The sequence below is a fragment of the Homo sapiens genome, chromosome 7, assembly GCF_000001405.40.
Source record: "Homo sapiens chromosome 7, GRCh38.p14 Primary Assembly".
NCBI lineage: Eukaryota > Metazoa > Chordata > Mammalia > Primates > Hominidae > Homo > Homo sapiens.
In genome coordinates this window covers 92,506,780-92,528,709 of record NC_000007.14, presented here as the reverse complement: position 1 = coordinate 92,528,709, position 21,930 = coordinate 92,506,780, and the positions used below count along the sequence as shown (strand labels likewise).

The 21,930-nt window shown below is 38.9% G+C and overlaps 1 protein-coding gene across 5 annotated transcripts in view, besides 2 other annotated features; it reads left to right on the top strand.

Moving 5' to 3' along the window:
* Positions 132-361: a silencer, noted in NCBI's record as "silent region_18372". NCBI's record gives its function as "represses an Ori minimal core promoter by ATAC-STARR-seq in GM12878 lymphoblastoid cells {active_cell/tissue: GM12878}" and the evidence as "EXISTENCE:reporter gene assay evidence [ECO:0000049][PMID:35858748]".
* Positions 190-21,930, top strand: part of PEX1 (peroxisomal biogenesis factor 1) — a 41,496-nt gene continuing 19,755 nt past the window's right edge. For 3 of the 5 annotated variants that reach the window (NM_001282677.2, NM_000466.3, XM_047420472.1), the window contains exons 1-10: positions 190-403; positions 6,465-6,608; positions 9,632-9,715; positions 10,455-10,569; positions 10,668-11,434; positions 14,743-14,862; positions 17,007-17,130; positions 17,663-17,766; positions 19,299-19,381; positions 21,584-21,716. In NM_001282677.2, coding sequence (NP_001269606.1) covers positions 275-403; positions 6,465-6,608; positions 9,632-9,715; positions 10,455-10,569; positions 10,668-11,434; positions 14,743-14,862; positions 17,007-17,130; positions 17,663-17,766; positions 19,299-19,381; positions 21,584-21,716 — 1,803 coding nt within the window. In that variant the 5' untranslated portion in view covers positions 190-274. Of the gene's footprint in view, positions 404-6,464; positions 6,609-9,631; positions 9,751-10,454; positions 10,570-10,667; positions 11,435-14,742; positions 14,863-17,006; positions 17,131-17,662; positions 17,767-19,298; positions 19,382-21,583; positions 21,717-21,930 lie in introns of those variants that run through there. The other 2 variants (NM_001282678.2, XM_047420473.1) reach the window with 2 other exon arrangements.
* Positions 592-771: an enhancer, noted in NCBI's record as "active region_26261". NCBI's record gives its function as "activates an Ori minimal core promoter by ATAC-STARR-seq in GM12878 lymphoblastoid cells {active_cell/tissue: GM12878}" and the evidence as "EXISTENCE:reporter gene assay evidence [ECO:0000049][PMID:35858748]".

Below are 21,930 nucleotides of genomic sequence, written 5' to 3'. Positions count from 1 at the left end.
AGAATCGACAGCGTCGGCCATCGTTTCCTGCGTGCGAAGATTTGATGAACGAGGTGCCGCCCCCGAGCGGCTCGGCGGAGAGGCGCGGTGGGTGACAGAAGCTTTCTTGTCCCACCCACTACAGGCTTACGGCAGGATGCGCAGCGGGGAGAGGGGGCGGGGCCGCAGGGGGCGGGGCCGATCGATCTCCTCCGGCTCCGACGTCCTCGGCCTGCCGGGTCCCGGGTCCTTTGCGGCGCTAGGGTGGGCGAACCCAGAGCGACGCTCCGGGACGATGTGGGGCAGCGATCGCCTGGCGGGTGCTGGGGGAGGCGGGGCGGCAGTGACTGTGGCCTTCACCAACGCTCGCGACTGCTTCCTCCACCTGCCGCGGCGTCTCGTGGCCCAGCTGCATCTGCTGCAGGTAACCTGCCGGCCCCGAGCCACCTGATCTTCAGCCTGGGGTCGGACGAGGCCGAAGCCTCTCAGGGACGCGGCGGGACACCGGCTGCCACCCGGGCGCCGCCGAAGCGCGCAGAGATCAGGGTCCCTCGACGGCAGGGCCCTTCTGGGTAGTCTCTGGATCCCACAAGTCCAGTGCAGCCCTGGGCTCGTCTTATCCCAGGTCTTTTCACTTGGTGAAACTGAACCTAGAAACGTCCTAATATTCTACCACTGTTTTTATAAATATTCCTTATTCCAGGCTGGAAAAGCTCCTGAGAAGTGGTTTGTTTTTATTATTTTAAAAGGTGTTTTCCTTGCCAGCCATTTCCAGTTAACCTGCGCTGCTGCCGTCCGGGCCGCGAGAGCGGGACGCAGAGTTGTTGGCGGAGCCCCTGTCGGTTCCCGGGGACTAAGCACCGCGTCCCATGAGCGGGAAAGGTTAATACAATGATGGTTCTGCCCTGCGTCGCTGACGCGGAACACAGCTGTAGTGTGTTAGGAACACATAACGTAGTTAAGATCACTTGAAGCTCTGCGATCAGTCGCCCTTCTGGACGTTGTGGTTAGGATGTTTCACAGTTCTAACCACTGGTGGAGATACAGCGTCCATATTTTCATAATTAAAAATAGAGGCACATGGTCTCACGAGTTTGAGTGTACTTATGGGGGCAAAAGGACGGCGTATTTGAAATCCTCATAAATCCTGGATGCATGGTACCCACCAGTGGCTAATCTATGCAATGAATAGAGTTTGCAATAATTTCAAGCATCCCTTCTTTCCACTTGAGTTACTTCCCCATACCTAGGGGAAGATATTTTTGGTCCACTGAAAACATGAGTTCAGCAGAATCCTCCTATCATCGTCGTTATTATTTTTTACCACTAAGTAGACAATCTTTTGGTTTTTGATGGGCTTTATGGCTAGAGACAAATCAGTCACTGTCACCAAGTTCCAGGTAGAAGTTGGTTCAGTGCTCTGTCAGCTTCGATGGGATTTTTCAACATGTTTTCAAATCTGCACTTAATAGTAGGAATGCTTTCTTACAGTAACTCTAATTTGATCCTAAGATGTAGTTGTTACCTTACATTCATCACTGTTTAAGAATTTAGTGGTCTTGATCTTTGTTTTAAATTTTGAGCCTTCGGGAAGTACTTATAAGAATTAATTCATGCATATCTTTTTGAAATGTAAATGTCTTTAGCCCTGGAACAAATTGCTGTTTCTGTTCAGCCCATATTAGCAGAATAGGTCAACTTTACTTTCTAATTATCAATGTAATAAGTTTATTACTTTATAGATTCCATAAATCTATACATTTATTCCTCGATGAATTATATAAATTTATAGAATTTATGTTTTATAGAAAATTTGGAAAGCATGGAAAATTATTAACAAGAAAATAAGTTACCCATAATCCCAGAACTTAGAGGTGACTAATGTTGACAGTTTGGATCAAATCTTCCAGTTTTGTTTCTAATCTTTATTTTTAACATAAATGAGGTCCTGTATACACACGTACAGTTTTGTGTCCTGGTGTTTTTATTTAATGTTATTATGAGTGTTTTATTTTGTTAAAAGGTCATCATTTTAAGTTGTTAATTAGTATTCTAGCACAAATTTGCCATAATTTATTTAATTGTTTACTATGATTGACCATTTAGATTGTACTTAATTTTTAGGCATTAGAAGTGATAAACTATATTTTAATCAGACGTTGAAAATAACACATCTTTGTTTAGAAAACATCATTTTATTTCTGGTTGTCTAGGATAGATTCCCAGAATTCTTGGGTTAGAGGCCATAGATAATTATGAAAGCAGAAAGATTCACAAGTTGGGAGTTAATACTTGAATTACTTTATTTGGGGTGAAGCATTGAGTGCATAATACAGATCATGCAGTAATGGGAAGAAGGGTTGGAACAATGGTTTTCTGGCCTATGTCAGACTTACCTTGAAGCTTTTAAGAATACAGATGTTCTGATCAACCCTCAGACCTATTAAATCAGACCTAAAATCTTAGGGAATAGGCTTTAGGCATCTCTAATTTTAAAAAATTTATTCAGGCTACTTGGATGCACAAAAGAGTTGAGACCTACTGTCCTAGAATCATAGAATTTTAATGACGATAGAGACCTTAAGCATCTAGGTCGTTTCTGTACTTTTACATGTAAGGAAACTGGCATTCCTAGGCCAGTACCATTGCCATGCAGCTAATTTGCCCTCTTGTCTATAGCTCACTCTGCATCACCCAACCTACCGTTCTCACTGTTTCTTCTATAACCAATCTCCTTCCCACTTCTGTTCTCTTACTCATGCCATTCTTCCCTCAGTCATTTTTCTTCCTTCCATACAAATTCCATGTCTTTAAAAAGGAATAATCCTACCTCCTCCACATAGCTTTCCAATTCTCTGTTGCCCACATTTGTCTCCCTTTCAATACTTCTCTGTTGTGTTATGTGACACATCACATTTGATATACTCTGTACTGTGTTTCAAGTATTGTATTCTCTTGTTTACTCAAGTCATTATTTCAGGACTGACTACCCAGTAGATGCTTTAAGTCAGGATTTCTCAACCTTGGCACTGTTGACATTTTGAGCTGGATAATTTTTTGTTTTGGGGGCTCTCCTGTACATTTTAAGATGTTTAACAGCACCCTTGGCCTCTATCCAGTAGACGCCTGTACTGCCTCCCCCTATCTGTGACAACCAAAAAGGTCTTCAGACATTGTCAGATGTCTACTGAAGGACAAAATCACCTCTGGTTGAGAACCACCGCTTCAACTAAGTTATCTTCTCTGTACTCAGAACTTGATGTGATTGCAGCAGGGGGAGAGGATTCATATACACAGTGAATGCAAACGAACCTAAATCACCATTCGGATATGGCCACACAATTTTCATTTCCCTTGTGTTAGCAAGAGATACCCTAGGCTTTGGACCTGATTATTCCTAAGGCATTCTGATGTATGGTTTTACCTGCAGATTTCCTGGTAATACTGATACCTCAGTTTGGGTCAAAGAAGGTCAATTAATTGATTGATTTGATTTGACTCCTGGAAAAGACGCTCCTTTCTAGCTGTCTCTTTCTTCTCTTTACCTGAATAGCCAGGGCTCTGTGGTTCAAGTGAAGTATTTTGACATAAAAATTAACTTAGAACATTGGTCTGCAGAGTTTGCTCAATATAACTGAGCACATATTGTGGCTTTATGGAGCTGGTTACTACTTTTTGACCAAATAAATAATTAGAAGTATTTTTCCTCCTCAATAAGGTTCATTTTTCCTTTTTTCAGTGAGCTGGTAGAGTTTCCTTTTTTGATATTTCAGGGCATCTTTCATATTTCCATCTCTTAAGTTTCTTCATATGAAGTAGAATTTATCTGGATTATGTATTGCTGACTCTGATGAAAACCCATAGAAAGCATCTGGGGCTTGATCACCTTCATTCTTGTAATAGCTCACACGGTTACAGCTGATATGGTAACTTAAGACTTTTGATTCCAAATCTAGGCAAAATACACTCAGTTGAAAGAATTTGTCAGCCAGAACAGTTGGACTGTTCTGTGAAAATTGTGAGAAAAATTACACAACTAAGTGATACATGATGATGGCTTTCTTAAATATAAAATTGTAATAACATGGTTAATTTCCAGTACGTTATATTGTCCCAGAAGTGGCTCCAACATTGTTTGAAATTTGTCTCATTTAAAGAAACATAAGCTGGCTATGGTGGCTCACGCCTGTAATCCCAGCACTTTGGGAGGCTGAGGCAGGCAGATCACCTGAGGTCAGGAGTTCGAGACCAGCCTGGCCAACATGGTAAAACCCCATCTCTACTAAAAATACAAAAATTAGCCGGGCATTTGGTGGGGGCCTGTAATCCCAGCTACTTGGGAGGCTGAGGCAGGAGAATTGCTTGAATCTGGGAGGTGGAGGTTGCAGTGAGCCGAGATTGTGCCACTGCCCTCCAGCCTGGGTGACAGAGTGAGTCTCCGTCTCAAGAAAAAAAAAAAAAAAAGCAAGAAACATAAAGACTGGGCATGTTGGCTCATGCCTGTAATCCCAGCACTTTGAGAGACTGAGGTGGGAAGATCACTTGAGCCCAGGAGGTTAAGGCTGCAGTGAGCCGTGATTTTGCCACTGTACTCGAGCCTGGGCAACACAGTGAGATCCTGTCTCAGGAAAAAAAAAATTGCATGTAAATGAATGAATTTGATATTTAATATTTTAAATTATGAAAACTGTTCTGTAGAGATGTAGATCTTGCCATGTTGCCCAGGCTGGCTTTGAACTTCTGGGCTCAAACAATCCTCCTGTCTCAGTCTCCCAAAGTATAAAGATTACACATGTGAGCCACTGCACCTGGCCTAATATTTTTAACTTAATGAATTTATTTTGATATAAATAAATTAATAACACTGAAGCTTCCTGATATAATAAGTCTTTTTGTGTGTGTGACGGGTTCTCACTCTGTTGCCCAGACTGGAGTGTAATGGCACTATCATGGCTCACTGTAGCCTCAACCTCCCTGACTCAAGTGATCCTCCCACCTCGGCTTCCTGAGTAGATGGGACCACAGGCGTATGCCACCACACCTGGCTGATTTTTAAAATTTATTATTGATACATATTAATAAAATTATTTTTATTTTAAAAATGATATATGTGGCTGGGCATGGTGGCTCATGCCTGTAATCCCGACAGTTTGGGAGGCCGAGGTGGGAGGATCACTTGAGACCAGGAGCTTAAGACCAGCCTAAGCAACATAGTGAGATCCCATCTCTATAGAAAAAAAAAATGGCTAGGTGTGGTGGTGTATGCCTATATTCCCAGCTACTCAGGAGACTGAGGTGAGAGGATTGCTAGAGCCCAGGAGTTTCAAGTTACAGTGACCTATGATTGTGCCAGTGCACTCCAGCCTGGGCAACAGAGCAAAATCCTGTCTCAAAAAAAAAAAAAGTTCGAAAATGCTTATGATGCAATATAAGTAGTGGAAAAGGATATTAAATTGTGCCTATATGAACACAACTATATGAAAAACTTGCACATAGAGAAAAGGATTAACAAGAAATAGACCAAATTGTTCACATGGTTGTCTTGTTTGTGGAGAGAATATCAGTAGTTCATTTGTTTCCTTCCAAGTTTATATGTTTTCCGAGGTCTCTATAATGAGTTTGTAATTGTTTAATCATAGAAAACCCTTTTTTGGTCCTTGGCCACAAACTTACATGTTTTAATGTAATTGCTTTTTTAATGAGAATAAATGTTATATTTTGCTTTTTTAAAACCTATATTCCCATAGTTATATGAGCCCTTACAATTATTAAGAGGCTGCATAATATAACGTTTCTGGAAGGGTACAGAAGAAACAGCAGTAATTACCTCTGAGAACAGAGACATGGCTTCACATTTTACCCTTTTGTACGTTTTGTGCTTTTGCCACATGCATTTATTATTCTTCCAATAAATAAGTAAATAAATATGGATTGTATACTCCATCTGGTTGGTGTTTCATAATTCTAAAATTATATTGCTACATTTTTAAAGATGATATGTGTTTCTACTTATTAACGTATATGTTAAAATAGTAAATTTATATCTTATTTAATAATTTCCCTATTGATAGACATTTAAGACAGTCTCAAGTGTTCACTATCATAGAAAATACTGCACAGATAGCTTTTGCTATAGTTTCTTTTTTCTTTGAATCGTTAATTGGGAATAAATGCTCAAATAGTTATATGTGGCTCAACTGCTATTTAAGTTTATTGACTGACTGCTGCCATTTTGAATTCTGAAGGGGTTGATTAAATTTATAATGCTGCCATAAGAATATAAGGGTATTGGCTTCATTAGCATCCACCAGCATTGGGTGTTGGAAATGATTATAGATTTTTAAATGCTACAACAAATGTAGATAACAGAGAACTATCTATAGAACTCTTTTTGGACATGTGAATTGTAATAATAGTTTATTTTCATGTGAATCCAGAAAAATGTATACGAAAACCTTTTTTCCTCTCATTTCTTATATGAATAGAATCAAGCTATAGAAGTGGTCTGGAGTCACCAGCCTGCATTCTTGAGCTGGGTGGAAGGCAGGCATTTTAGTGATCAAGGTGAAAATGTGGCTGAAATTAACAGACAAGTTGGTCAAAAACTTGGACTCTCAAATGGGGGACAGGTAAGCACATGTGATGGCAATAACTTTCTTCTAATATCACATAATATAGCAATAGAAATAAAATTAAAAGTTTAGATTTTTTGTTAAAGGAGGTGAGATGTCACCTAATTTGTATGCTATTATGTAACTAGTCTAGGATATTGAAGCTGACTATACTCTGTTTTTAGGTCATTATCTTGTAGTTTACCATACTCCCTACTTGCTTCTTATTCTACTATTTAACTCATTTTCCACATCCCCTAATTTTGGTTTCATGAAATTATTTTTCCTTCTGAATTACTAGGTTCTACTTACTATTATTAAACTTTATTTCTGACATATTTTATAACCTTCCATGGTCTCACTTGATTAAAAATAAAAAATTCAGCTGGGTGCGGTGGCTCACACCTATAATCCCAGCACTTTGGGAGGCCAAGGTGGGCGGATAATTTGAGGTCAGGAGTTGGAGACCAGCCTGCCCAACGTGGTGAAACCCCCCCTCTCTACTAAAAATTCAAAAATTAGCTGGGCATGGTGGCAGGTGCCTGTAATCCCAGCTACTCAGGAGGCTGAGGCAGGAGAATTGCTTGAACCTGGGAGGTGGAGGTTGCAGTGAGCTGAGATTGCACTGCTGCACTTCAGCTGGGTGACAAGAGCGAAACAATGTCTTGAAAAAAAATAAAAAATAAAAAATTCTACAACACAGGGTTATTATTTTTCCATTTTTGTTTTCCCTTATGAGTTTAATATGTTTAGATTATAAACCTGAAAGCTTGAATACCTATGTCTATCTTTTGTTTTCTTATGTTTATCAAGTTATTCCTTTAAACATTTTCTAAACTGTAAGAATAATGTGAGGCTGGGCTCAATGGCTTATGCCTGTAATCCCAGTGCTTTGGGAGGCCAAGGTGGGAGGACCACTTGAGGCCACGAGTTCAAGATTAGCCTGGCTAGGCAACATAGCAAGACCCTATCTCTATAAAAAAATTAAAAAAATTAGCTGGGCATGGTAGCAAATGCTTGTAGTCCCAGCTACTCAGCAGACTGAGGTAGGAGGAATGCTTGAGACCAGGAATTTGAGTGACCTATGATTATGCACTCCAGCCCGGGCAATAGCAAGACCCTATCTCTTAAAAGAAGAAGATGTAGTAATAATACATATTCATTATAACTATTTTACCATTGAAAGTAAAAAATGAGTTTTTACCTTTTCCCAGTCCCATCCTCAGAATGGGGATCTCAGTAGACCTTTAGGATTGGAAGAATGAGATCATTCATATTTTCTGCAATTATTACCCCACAAAATATTTCAGATACCTTTCCATGTATTACAAACAATGTGCATTTAACATGTCTCTCTCTTTCTCTCTCTCTCTGTGTGCGTCTTCATGATCCTCTGTTGCAGCCCTGCCAGTAAGACACTATCTCCTGAAGAATCACTGATAGGAACAGAAAGTGGACTGGCTAGGCCAGGAGTCCTTAGCTTCTTAGGGGGCAGGAGCTGCTTTGTGCTTTCTCAGAATCAGATATATATGTGGACTGAAACATTTAAAAACAGAATAGCCAAGGGTGCTATACGTTTAAAACTTATATAGATGGGGCTACATTGCTCTCTATTACTAATTTCCCATGACAATACACGAGAGTGCCATGTCTTTTTAACTTGTTTTGAGCACAGACTAATCTTGTTTATGCATGTTTTTTGATGAGAATAGGCTACTCATGAGAAATCTGTAAACCTAACACTAGTCCCTTGCATACTCTAAATTGTTGCTAGAATCTTAAAATTTTAGCACCAGACGGACCTTAGAAATCATTAACTTTGGTGCTTTGTTCTACAATACAAGGAGATGGAATATTTTACCCAGGATTGCTTAGCAGGTTACAGTTCTGCCCTCTGAGTACCCAGCACTTCCCTGTGGGCAACATCAACTTCCTGATTTTCAAGTCTTAATTAGTACTCTGAAGAATCCTACTTGTTTTTAACTCCCATTTGCTTTGAAGTGACTTTACCTGATTTTTTTAGATCCCTTATTGCAGCAATGCCACTAAGAAACTGAGTCTCTAGCTTCTTGGTGGGCAGGAGCTGCTTTGTGCTTGCTCAGAATCATCCTTTTCAGTAAGGGAGATATTGAAGAGAAATCTACTGAGGAGTCTGGGGGTGAGGCACTCAGGGAAATCCTGCTCCAGTCCACAAAAGCAGAGAGGAAGGGTTGGTTACCTAGAGTATTTAACATGCAGAGGCTTTGGATTTTACTCCTTTAATCCTTGGAAATGCCTATGGAAGGGGAAAGGAAGTAAGATGGTGACTCCAGCTTATAGACATACTAGTGTTACATATATTTAAACTATAATAGGAGGGTATTATTAGTTTTACTTAACTTTCAACTGTGAAGGATTATACTTCTCAATATTTGTCTCCAGTGTCTATTTCAGTGTATTTTTCACTTTTCTTGAAGCAGCATGTCTGTTGCAAAACTTCTAGAAATAATGAGAATATTTATATATTAGATCAAGCCATAACTTGATGATATAGTCATTTCTTCTTATATTTTTTACTTACATTTTTACATTTTAATGATTACTTTCATTTTTGAAAAACATGTCATGCTGAGATGTATTTTTCTTCATTCTGTAATTAGTTATGAAACAGTTTTTCCTAAAATGCTGAGTATATCAAGTCTTGGCTAAGAATAAGTAATAAATATTTGCCACATGAAAGACTACACATATAGCCAGGTGCAGTGGCTTGCACCTGTTTTCCCAGCTACCCAGGAGGCTGAGGCAGGAGGATTGCTTGAGCCCAGGGTTTCCAGGCTGCAGTGAACTATGATTGTACCACTCTACTCCAGAATGGGTGACAGAGCCAGGCCCCATCTCTCAAAACAGAAAAGAAAGATTACATAGACTACATATACACCCCCATCCAAAACATACACACACATCTACTTAACCTAAAATGGTAAGAAGATAACTTCTTATTTTCTAATATATGACACAGAAAAGTTTTTTTAAAGTAGTTTTAAATTTTTAATTTTTTCTAGGTATTTCTCAAGCCATGTTCCCATGTGGTATCTTGTCAACAAGTTGAGGTGGAACCCCTCTCAGCAGATGATTGGGAGATACTGGTAAAGAAAACCAAATAAGAACTATCTCATTTAAGGTTAAATTACTTCACAATATCAATGTCTTTAGCTTTCTCTAAGCTTTATTATATATTCTGAGTTGGTTTTGAATTATAAGAATGAATTGGGGCCAGGCACAGTAGCTCATGCCTATAGTCCCAGCACTTTGGGAGGCCAAGGCAGGTGGATTGCTTGAGTCCAGGAGTTCAAGACCAGGCTGGGCAACATGGTGAAACCCCGTATCTACTAAAAATACAAAAATTAGCCAGGCATGGTAGTGCATGCCATTAGTCCCAGTCACTTGGGAGGCTGAGGCAGGAGAATCGCTTGAGCCCGTAAAGTCAAGGCTGCAGTGAGTCAGGATCTTGCCATTGTACTCCAGTCTGGAAAACAGAGTGAGACCTTGTCTCAAATAAAAAAAGAATGAATTGATAGAGATCTAATGTACAACCTGACAACTATAGGTAATAAAATTGTATTGGGGATTCATGTTAAATGAGTAGATTTTAACTACTCTTACCACAAAAACACAAAAGTGGGTAACTGTGAGATGATGTATATGTTAATTTACTTCACTATAGTAACCATTATACTATCTATATGTAGCTCATAACACCATGTCGTGTATATTAAATATGCACATTAAAATTTGTTTTTTAAAAAAAGAATTGAGATTTTTTTTAACTAGATATGGAGTGGACAAAATGTAAAGTGAATTGATCTTTTCGTCTGTTGGTTCTAGGAGCTGCATGCTGTTTCCCTTGAACAACATCTTCTAGATCAAATTCGAATAGTTTTTCCAAAAGCCATTTTTCCTGTTTGGGTTGATCAACAAACGTACATATTTATCCAAATTGGTAGGTGCTATTGTAATATTTGCTGTCATATTCTACACTATAGCATTGAGTCCAAAGTAGAAATGAATGTGCACTAATGAGCTTTATTTTCTACACAGTTGCACTAATACCAGCTGCCTCTTATGGAAGGCTGGAAACTGACACCAAACTCCTTATTCAGCCAAAGACACGCCGAGCCAAAGAGAATACATTTTCAAAAGCTGATGCTGAATATAAAAAACTTCATAGTTATGGAAGAGACCAGAAAGGAATGATGAAAGAACTTCAAACCAAGCAACTTCAGTCAAATACTGTGGGAATCACTGAATCTAATGAAAACGAGTCAGAGATTCCAGTTGACTCATCATCAGTAGCAAGTTTATGGACTATGATAGGAAGCATTTTTTCCTTTCAATCTGAGAAGAAACAAGAGACATCTTGGGGTTTAACTGAAATCAATGCATTCAAAAATATGCAGTCAAAGGTTGTTCCTCTAGACAATATTTTCAGAGTATGCAAATCTCAACCTCCTAGTATATATAACGCGTCAGCAACCTCTGTTTTTCATAAACACTGTGCCATTCATGTATTTCCATGGGACCAGGAATATTTTGATGTAGAGCCCAGCTTTACTGTGACATATGGAAAGCTAGTTAAGCTACTTTCTCCAAAGCAACAGCAAAGTAAAACAAAACAAAATGTGTTATCACCTGAAAAAGAGAAGCAGATGTCAGAGCCACTAGATCAAAAAAAAATTAGGTCAGATCATAATGAAGAAGATGAGAAGGCCTGTGTGCTACAAGTAGTCTGGAATGGACTTGAAGAATTGAACAATGCCATCAAATATACCAAAAATGTAGAAGTTCTCCATCTTGGGAAAGTCTGGGTTAGTATAAATTTTATAACTTGGGAGAAATTTTATGTGGCTTAAACATCCCCAAATTATGAATTAGAATAGTATTTCATATATAAATTGAAAATCAATTAAAAAGAAACACAGTGCCTAAAGGCACTTGGGGGACACATTTACGCTTTGCAGTAAAGTCCTTGTTTGGATAAAGATTGTATGTTTTCTGGCCAAGTAAGCTTGAATAGGTACAAGCTTAGATAGGTTCAGGCCAGAGAGGTCAAAATTACTTGCCTGAGATTGCATAGCTAGTGTTACAACTAGGATTCAAACCCAGGCAGATTGACTTGGGGGTTCATCAGGATGGAGTGCCCTACAAAGCCTCCCATCTTTAATGCTTGCAGATTTGTTCCCCAGTTACCGAAAGCAACTTGTTAATATTAGGGAAAAGGGCCAGTGTAGGGAGAGATCCATGGCATGAGGTAACCTTCCTGCTGCATGTGGTGGCACCTGGATTGGAATGCATCCAGGAGCTGCTTACCCTGCCGGTGTCTGCTCTTTAATTTGTGTATAACGGAGAGGAAGTAGACAGGGCAACTAGTGCTCCAGCCCCTCATCCTGGCCACAAATATTAATGCTACCTTTATATGACATAAGTCACTAGTCCATTTATTGGAACCTAAATTTGAACCACTGTAAAGTAAGACTTCATAGTGATAAAGAGAGGAACTTGTTAGGAAAGAGAATAAAATAGAAAGAGAAGGTTGTCTCCTTTTGTAGATTTTTTTTTTTTCTCCAACAGTTTTACCTGTGACCTTTATACAAATAACTGACAAAGCATTAATCTCTTTGGCCTACATCATTTTCTTTTCTATTTTTTTTTTCCACAAGATGGAGTTTCACTCTTCTTGCCCAAGCTGGAGTGCAGTGGCATGATCTGGCTCACTGCAACCTCCGCCTCCCACGTTCAAGTGGTTCTCCTGCCTCAGCCTCCTGAGTAGCTGGGACTACAGGCATGCACCACCACGCCTGGCTAATTTTTTGTATTTTTAGTAGAAACTGGGTTTCACCATGTTAGCCAGCCTGGTCTGGAACTCCTGACCTCAGGTGATCTGCCTGCCTCGGCCTCCCAAAGTGCTGGGATTACAGGCATGAGCCACTGCTCCTGGCCGGCCTACATCATTTTCTAAAGCTCCAGACCATTCTTTTCTTTTCTTTTCTTTTCTTTTCTTTTCTTTTCTTTTCTTTTCTTTTCTTTTTTCTCTTCTCTTCTCTTCTCTTCTCTTCTCTTCTCTTCTCTTCTCTTTTCTTTTCTTTTTTTGAGTTAGAAGCTTGCTTTGTTGCCCAGGCTGGAGTGCAGTGGCACCACCTCCACTCACTACAACCTCCACCTCCCAGGTTCAAATGATTCTCCTGCCTCAGCCTTCAGAGTAGCTGGGACTACAAGTGTGCGCCACCACTCCTGGCTAATTTTTGTATTTTTAGTAGGGACGAGGTTTCACCATGTTGGCCAGGCTAGTCTTGAACTCCTGGTCTCAAGTGATCCGCCTGCCTCAGTCTCCCAAGGTGCTGGGATTACAGGCGTGAGCCACTGTGCCTGGCCTCAGATCATTATTTTCTGTTAGCTTTAAACTGTCCGTTCAGGAGATCCCACTGCATCCTCAAATTCAAAATATCTAACACTGAGCTTATGATTTAGCTGGTTCTGTCATTAGATGGGAATATCCTTTTATTTCCTTGAAATTATATGGTGAGAACAGGGAGAAGTGCTGATGGTAAAGTCCTGTGATTAAGATAGCAATAAGGACTCCGCCCTTCCCACTCCACTGAAGGTTGAAGAGCCATGGACAATGAGAAGTCACAGTAGGTGAAATCAGGTACTAAAATGGACTTGGCTTGAGAGATCAAAATTGATCACTTGGTGATACAACTAACAAATTCATGTTAACTTGAACCTTTATTACCCTGTGAAGCATGGTGATTAAAAAAAAACAACAAACAAACAGGAAACTTGATTGTTAAATTCTCTTTAAGTCAGAATATGTACCTTAGAGTTTTTATTTATGCTTTTGTCTACCATTAATATGTCTGCACCTGCTCTTTAGAAGTTAATAGAGAGTAAAGTCGTCTTTATGTCTTTCAGTGCTTACTTATATTTGGGAAGTTGAGAAAAATTTTTAACATCATTATTGATATATATATATATATATATATATATATATATATATATATATATATATATATATAGATAATTTTTTTTTTTTTCTTGAGACGGAGTCTCACTCTGTCGCCCAGGCCGGAGTGTGGTGGCGATCTCCACTCAATGCAAGCTCTGCCTCCCAGGTTCAAGCGATTCTCTTGCCTCAGCCTCCCGAGTAGCTAGGATACAGGCTCCCACCACCACGCCTGGCTAATTTTTGTAGTTTTAGTAGAGACGAGGTTTCACCATATTGGCCACGCTGGTCTCAAACTCCTGACCTTGTGATCCGCCCACCTCGGCCTCCCAAAGTGCTGGGATTACAGGCGTGAGCCACTGCGCCCGGCTGAGGTAAAATTTAAAGTGTACAATTCAGTCATTTTTAGTATATTTATACTAGTTGTACAGCCATCACCACAATCTAAGTTTAGAACATTTTCATTAGGGGGTGGGAGAAATTTTACTCTGCTTTTTAGATTAAGTTTCTGTCTGGATCTAATCATTTAATCAGACAATCAGGCAGATTGTCTGTGATTAGTTTTGGCCATTCCAGCTTCTTCATTGGTTGTTAACTTTCACAAATAAAGGCTGCTCAAAGATTAGAAATAACATTTAATTTGAATGTAAATGTGCCATAGTTTAAAAGATGGGTTTGGTGAATACAGTCAAATACATACATTTAAAGCTCTAATTCTGAAGATTATGTAAAGAAAAGGAAAGAAATGTAGGGAGAGGATTGAAATGTTCATGGTATAACAATATCTGAACATCCATCTGGTCACACCGTTGGTATTTGAATGTTTTGTCCTCCTCAAATTCATATGTCGAAATCCCAACTCCCAAGGTGATCGTATTAGGAGGTGTGGTCTTTGGGAAGTGATTAGGTCATGAAGGTGAAGCCTTCATGAATGGGATTCGTGCTCTTATAAAAGAGAACTGTGAGAAATAAGTTTCTGTCGTTTGTTAGCCACCCAGTTTAGGATATTTTGATATAGCAGCCTGCATGGACTGAGACAACTATGAGTTATTATGATAGCTTCTGTTATTTCACCTAAATTCATAGAAGCTAATATATCAATATTTATGCTATGAAATATTTCTTAACCAAGCTTTGAATATATTTATATTTTTGTTTATTTTTAAATTTCAGATTCCAGATGACCTGAGGAAGAGACTAAATATAGAAATGCATGCCGTAGTCAGGATAACTCCAGTGGAAGTTACCCCTAAAATTCCAAGATCTCTAAAGTTACAACCTAGAGAGAATTTAGTGAGTTCAAATATATATGTTACATCAAAATTCTTTTACACGTTTTGTAAGATTTCTAGTTGCTTTAGCTAAGTAATAAGAATGTTGTATTCCTTTTTGATACAAATCTTTTTTTATTGTGTTAAACTATATATAACATAAAATATGCCATGTTCGCCATTTTTAAGTGTATAATTCAAAGGCATTAATTACATTCATAATATTGTACAACCATCACCACTATCTATATCCAGAACTTTTCCATCACCCCAAAGAGAAACTTGGTACCCATTAAACAATAATTCCCCGTCCACTCCTTTCCCCAGTCCCTGGTAATCTCTAATGTATATTGTGTCTCTATGAATTTACTTATTCTAGATATTTCATATATAAGTAGAAGTATGCATTTGTCTTATGTATCTGACTTATTTCATTTAACATAATGTTTTCAAGGCTCATCTGTGTTGTATGTATCAGAATGTTATTCCTTTTCATGGCTGAATACTATTCCATTGACTGCATATACCACATTTGTTTATCCATTCATCTGTTGATGGACACTTGGGTTGTTTCCACATTTTTGGCTGCTGTGAATAATGCTACAGTGAACATTGGTGTACAAGTATCTGTTTGAGTTCCTCTTTTCAGCTCCTTTGGGATATACCTAGGAATTATGTTTAACTTTTTGAGAAGCTGAGAAATCTTTAATAAATGATAACACAAATACTTATATTTGCCAATGCAAATATGAATATTTTTGGCTTTTAAGAGATTGATCATTTTGCCACGTGGTTGTAATTAAAAAAAATTGTCCCATGTTGTTTCAGTATTAATATTGTAGCCTAAAAGAGTGCTAGACTGTTTTACTTTTTACTCAGTTAATTCTTTGGATACTGGTAGAGTCAGGAAATGAGATATTGAACTTAAAGATCTTTGCAGGTGGGGTCCAGTGGCTCACACCTGTAATCCTAGCACTTTGGGAAGCTGAGGTGGGAGGATTGCTTGAGGCCAAGAGTTTGAGAATAGCCTGGGCAACATAGCAAGACCCCATCTCTACAAAAAAATTAAAAAAAAAATTAAGCCAGGCGTGGTAGCTCACGCCTGTTATCCCAACACTTCGGGAGGCTGAGATGGGTGGATCACTTGAGGTCAGGAGTTGGAGACCAGCCTGGCCAACATGGTGAAACCCCATCTCTACTAAAAATACCAAAATTATCGGGGCGTGGTGCTAATCCTGTAATCTCAGCTACTCAGGAGGCTGAGGCAGGAGAACCACTTGAACTGAGGAGGTGGAAGTTGCAGTGAGCCTAGATCTCACCACTGCACTCCAGCCTGGGTAACAGAGCGAGACTCTATTTCAAAAAAAGTAAAAATAAAAATTAGACACATGTGGTGGCACATGCCTGTAGTCCTAGCTACTCAGGAGGCTGACTGAAGTGGGAGGATCTCTTGAGCCCAGGAGTTCCACACTGCAGTGAGCTATGATTGTGCCACTGCACTCCAGCCTAGGCAATATCTCAAAAAAAATTTTTTTAAATAGATTATTAGGCCAGACGTGGTGGCTCATGCCAGTAATCCCAGCACTTTGGAAGGCCAAGGCAGGCGGATCACCTGAGGCCAGGAGTTTGAGACCAGCCTGGCCAACATGGTGAAACCCCATGTCTACCAAAAATACAAAAATTAGCTGCAATGTCTATAATCCCAGCTACTTGGGAGCCTGAGGCAAGCGAATCGCTTGAACCCGGGAGGCAGAGGTTGCAGTGAGTGGAGACTGCGCCACTGCACTCCAGCCTGGGCGATACAGCGAGATTCTGTCTCAAAGAAAAAGGAATTTGTTTTCCTGTCTTTATCGTAGAGGGAGGAAAGGGAGAATGGGGTTGGAATGGTTATTGAGTGAGCCACATTATGGTAGATGTATCACTGGGCATAGAGAAAAGGAGCATTTAAAACTTTTCCGCCTAACAGATGTTTCTTCAGGCTACACTGCACTCATTGTGCTAACTGTAATGTCAAATCCCAGACCTGTGCCTATAGAACATGAACATCCTTCATTGGATTTGTTTGGTCAGGCTTACACTTTATTAGGAAGATCAGATGTTAAAATAAGGGTGTTAAAGTTAAGTTCAGATATGAGGATAATTCATTACTATTCCTTTTTCTGGCAGCCTAAAGACATAAGTGAAGAAGACATAAAAACTGTATTTTATTCATGGCTACAGCAGTCTACTACCACCATGCTTCCTTTGGTAATATCAGAGGAAGAATTTATTAAGCTGGAAACTAAAGATGGTGAGTACATTTGTTATTTTGACTTTTTTTTCTATTTAAATAGTTGTACATTTTTAATTGTTCTTGCAACCTGTCATACCTGTGAACAGTATGTGAATAGTGAAATATAATTATGATAATTAAACAGTAGTTTTTATGTATTGAAAAATATCTTTGGCCGGGTGCAGTGGCTCATGCCTGTAATCCCAGCACTTTGGGAGGCCGAGGCAGGCGGATCACTTGAGGCCAGGAGTTCGAGAGCAGCCTGCCAACATGGCGCAACCCTATCTATACAAAAAAATACAAAAATTAGCCTGACATAGTGGTGTATGCCTGTAGTCCCAGCTACTTGGGAGGCTGAGGCAGAAGGATCACTTGAGCCCAGGAGGTCTGTGTTCCTGCCACTGCACTCCAGCCTGGGCAGCAGAGTGAGACCCTGTTGGGGGGAAAAAAAAAAAAGTCTTTAACTTAAATAAATTTGACATTTAAAATCTTAAATTATTTCATCTCTGTTTCAGTACTAACTCTGCATTTATTACTTTCTTTTTAATAGGACTGAAGGAATTTTCTCTGAGTATAGTTCATTCTTGGGAAAAAGAAAAAGATAAAAATATTTTTCTGTTGAGTCCCAATTTGCTGCAGAAGACTACAATACAAGTAATAGCATGTTATTGAATATTTAATAAAATACTATTTGTTACATATGATTGATAATAAAGTATGAAGTTCCTTGTAACACCTTGCATTGTGAAGTGTATTAAAAACCTGCTAAGAGTAAGGAATAACTTGATTTAAAATATTTTATTCTGTAATCTCTTTAAATTATCTGTACAAATTATTGACTTAACCTAAATTTAAAAATGAATGCCTTAGCACAATTAAGTTCCAAGAATAGAGTTGATCATGTTAACTGGTAAATGGATCATGATTTAAAATTCTTCTAGGATTGAAACAAATGAAAACGTAGTTTTAAGGGTTTGATTTTTTAAATTCCTATTTTTACATGCAATTTTACTGCACAACCCATCTTATTTTGACAGTTCTTAAATTCGCAACTCTTCAGAAATATTATCAGATCACTTTTCTTTGCTTCCATAAGTTTTTTTATTATTATATTATTATTTTTTTTTTTTAAAAGACGGTGTCTCACTTTGTCGCCCAGGCTGGAGTGCAGTGGCATGATCATGGCTCACTGCAGCCTCGACCTCCCAGGCTCAGGTGATTCTCCCACCTCAGCCTCCCAAGTAGCTGGGACCACAGGCGAATGCCATGATGCCTGGCTAATTTTTGTATGTTTTGTAGAGATAGGGTTTCACCATGTTGCCCAGAATTGTCTTGAACTCCTGGGTTCAAGCAGTTGTTCTGCCTTGCCCACCCAAAGTTGTGGGATTACAAGTGTGAGCCACTGCGCCCAGCTATTCTAGAAGTATTTTAAGAGTCATCTTTTTTTTTTTTTTGAGATGGAGTCTCACTCTGTCACCCAGGCTGGAGTGCAGTGGCACACTCTCGGCTCACTGCAACCTCCACCTCCTGGGTTCAAGTGATTCTCCTGCCTCAGCTTCCCTAGTAGCTAGGATTACAGGCGCATGCCACCATGCCCTGCTATTTTTTGTAGTTTTAGTAGAGACGAGATTTCACCATGTTGGCCAGGCTGCTCTTGAACTCCTGACCTCAAGTGATCTGCCCTCCTCAGCCTCCCAAAGTGCTGGGATTCTAAGTGTAAACCACCACACCCAGCCAAGAGTGGTCTTTTTACAATATTATTTTTTGATTAGGACATTCATTCTTGTCATAAAATTGAAGATACTCTAGTCATTTAGAATTTCATTGTTTTGGAACTAGACATTGTTTCTTTATTTTTGAAATGTTATTGAAGGAATACCATTTGGAGAAGATACAAATGTAAGAATTGTGAAAAGGATAATTGTGACACAAATCAAAATTATAGATAAAAATATACCTGTAAAATGTATTAAGGCAATAACATTCTTTCTGCTTGTTGACCATAAATATTTATATTCCCTGGATGGGTACATTGTTATTGTCAAGGGTGTTTAAATAATGATCTTGCATGCATAATTTATTCTCTCTGGTATAACAGAATCAGCAATTTAGTTTTCTGGGACCCGAGAAAAACATGCAAAAGACATACTTTGAAATGTAAAACTGATTTTTCCTTGCAACTGTAGGTCCTTCTAGATCCTATGGTAAAAGAAGAAAACAGTGAGGAAATTGACTTTATTCTTCCTTTTTTAAAGCTGAGCTCTTTGGGGTAAGAAGTTATGGCCAAACTAGCATGTTAGACATGTTTTTAACACTATATCTGGCAGAGTTTTCAATGTAAATATTAAAGTAGATGTTAATGTCAATAAGTGATCTTAATAATGCATCAGTAGATATTTTTTCAAGGATTGTCTCTATCTTCACGCCTAGCTTATAATTTGCCTTGTCGTCTTTTTTTTTTTCTCTTTATTTTTATGTTTTTATCCATCCCTGGTGGTAGGGGATAACCTTGTCTTCTTCGATAACAAGAAGTCTGAAGCTTATTAGAAATTTTACTTTGAGAATTGATCGATGAGAAGAAAGCAACTAGATATCACGTGGATCATATATGCTTGAATAAAACAATAATTCTTAGAACAAATAAATACATTTTAAAAGTTAAAGCCAAAAACATTAGTTGAATGTTTAAAAATATTTCAAATTAAGTTATTCCTTCACTGTCTTGTATTACTGTAATAATTTGGATTATTTGTGTTTTTCTCAACTTTTAAAACAAATATTTAAAAAATTCCTCTTTTGATTAAGTAGGGCTAGATAAAATATAAAAAATATTTTTTAAACTCCTCTTAATTTCCATATTTCTTATATAATATGAGAATCTCTTATAAACACTACCTCTTAGAAGTCTCCACAGAAGCTTTGGTAGATGTAGTAGTAGGGATTTGATTTCTTAGAATGGTATAATCTGTAAATGTTTTAGTAAAAGGATTAAACGATAAAGTCAAAATGTTTATAGCACAGTGTTTATTAATATAAAATAAAATCTCTTTTTTTTTTTTTGAGATGGACTCTCACTTTGTCACTCAGGCTGGAGTGCAGTGTTGCAATCTCAGCTCATTGCAACCTCCGCCTCCTGGGTTCAAGCAATCCTTCCGCATCAGCCTCCTAAGTAGCTGGGATTACAAGCATGCACCACCACACCTGCCTAATTTTTTGTATTTTTAGTAGAGATGGGGTTTCACCATGTTGGCCAGGCTGGTCTCAAGTGATCCGCCTGCCTCAGCCTCCCAAAGTGCTGGGATTACAGGCGTGAACCACTGTGCCCAGCATAAAGTAAAATCTCTTCAGACTCTCATGTGATCATGTAAAGTGGCAGGCAGTCACAGTCAAGAAGTAGTTTAAAGTTCATGTTTGTAAAATATAATCTACAGATTGATACTGGATTTCATAGGTAATGTTTAAGAGAAAATAAGTTTTTAGTTATCCTCAGTACTTCAAAAGCACCCATTTATGATTATGTTGATTACTAAACTAAATCATTTGGGGGCTAGAGGTGTTTTTTTATGTGTTAAGATTCCTTAAGGAGTTCTATTAGGGCAAAACTTTTAGTAACTGCATATTTTAAAAGTAATAAAACTAATTTTAAAAGCTTGGAGGCTGGGCGCGGTGGCTCACACCTGTAATTCCAGCACTTTGGGAGGCCAAGGCGGGTGGATCACTTGAGGTCAGGAGTTTGAGACGAGCCTGAGCAACATGGTGAAACCTTGTCTCTACTAAAAATACAGAAATTAGCCAGGTGTGGTGGTGGGCACCTGTAATCCCAGCTACTCGGGAGGCTAAGGCAGGAGAATTGCTCGAACTTGGGAGGCAGAGGTTGCAGTGAGCCGAGATCATGCCACTGCACTCCAGCCTGGGTGACAGAGCAAGACTCCGTCTCAAAAAAAAAAAAAAAAAAAAGCTTGAAGTCAGATTCGACATTAATCAGTATACTTTCTCTCAAGTAGGGGACAATTTCTAAGATTTTAGTCTTTTAAAATTTATTAACTAGTCTGAGCATGGTGGCTTGTGTCTATAATCCCAGCACTTTGTGGGGCCGAGGCAGATGGATCACTTGAGCCCAGGAGTTGGAGACTAGCCTGGGCAACATGGCAAAACCCCGTCTCTACAACAAATGCACACACAAAAAACCCAATCAGCTGGGTGTGGTGTTACACTCCTGAAGTCCCAGCTACTCGGGAGGCTGAGGCAGGAGGATCACCTTTGCCAGGGCGTTTGAGGCTGCAGGGAGCTGGGTTCACACCACTGCGCTCCAGCCTGGATGACACAGCAAGCCCCTTTCTCAAAAAAAAAAAGATAAAAAATTAAATTAAATTAATTAACTACACTGGGAAGGCAAAATTCAGCATTTTTTTATAGCTAAATTTTATCCTGCTTCAGTCTTTTATCATGTAACTATGTATATTTTTTACAGAGGAGTGAATTCCTTAGGCGTATCCTCCTTGGAGCACATCACTCACAGCCTCCTGGGACGCCCTTTGTCTCGGCAGCTGATGTCTCTTGTTGCAGGACTTAGGAATGGAGCTCTTTTACTCACAGGAGGAAAGGTAAGTGGTTAAGGTGTGTTCATTTTTCTGTAACATTTAATAACTTTTCATTTATCTTTCTTTGGGTTTTGACCATCTATTATATAGGGTGGGTTTTGACCATCTATTATATAGGGTTTATACGACATATGGAAAGCATTCATTTATTCACTAATATTTCTGTGTGTCTGCTTTTAGGTGTTGGGGGAGTGATGACGAATAAGACTGATGTTCT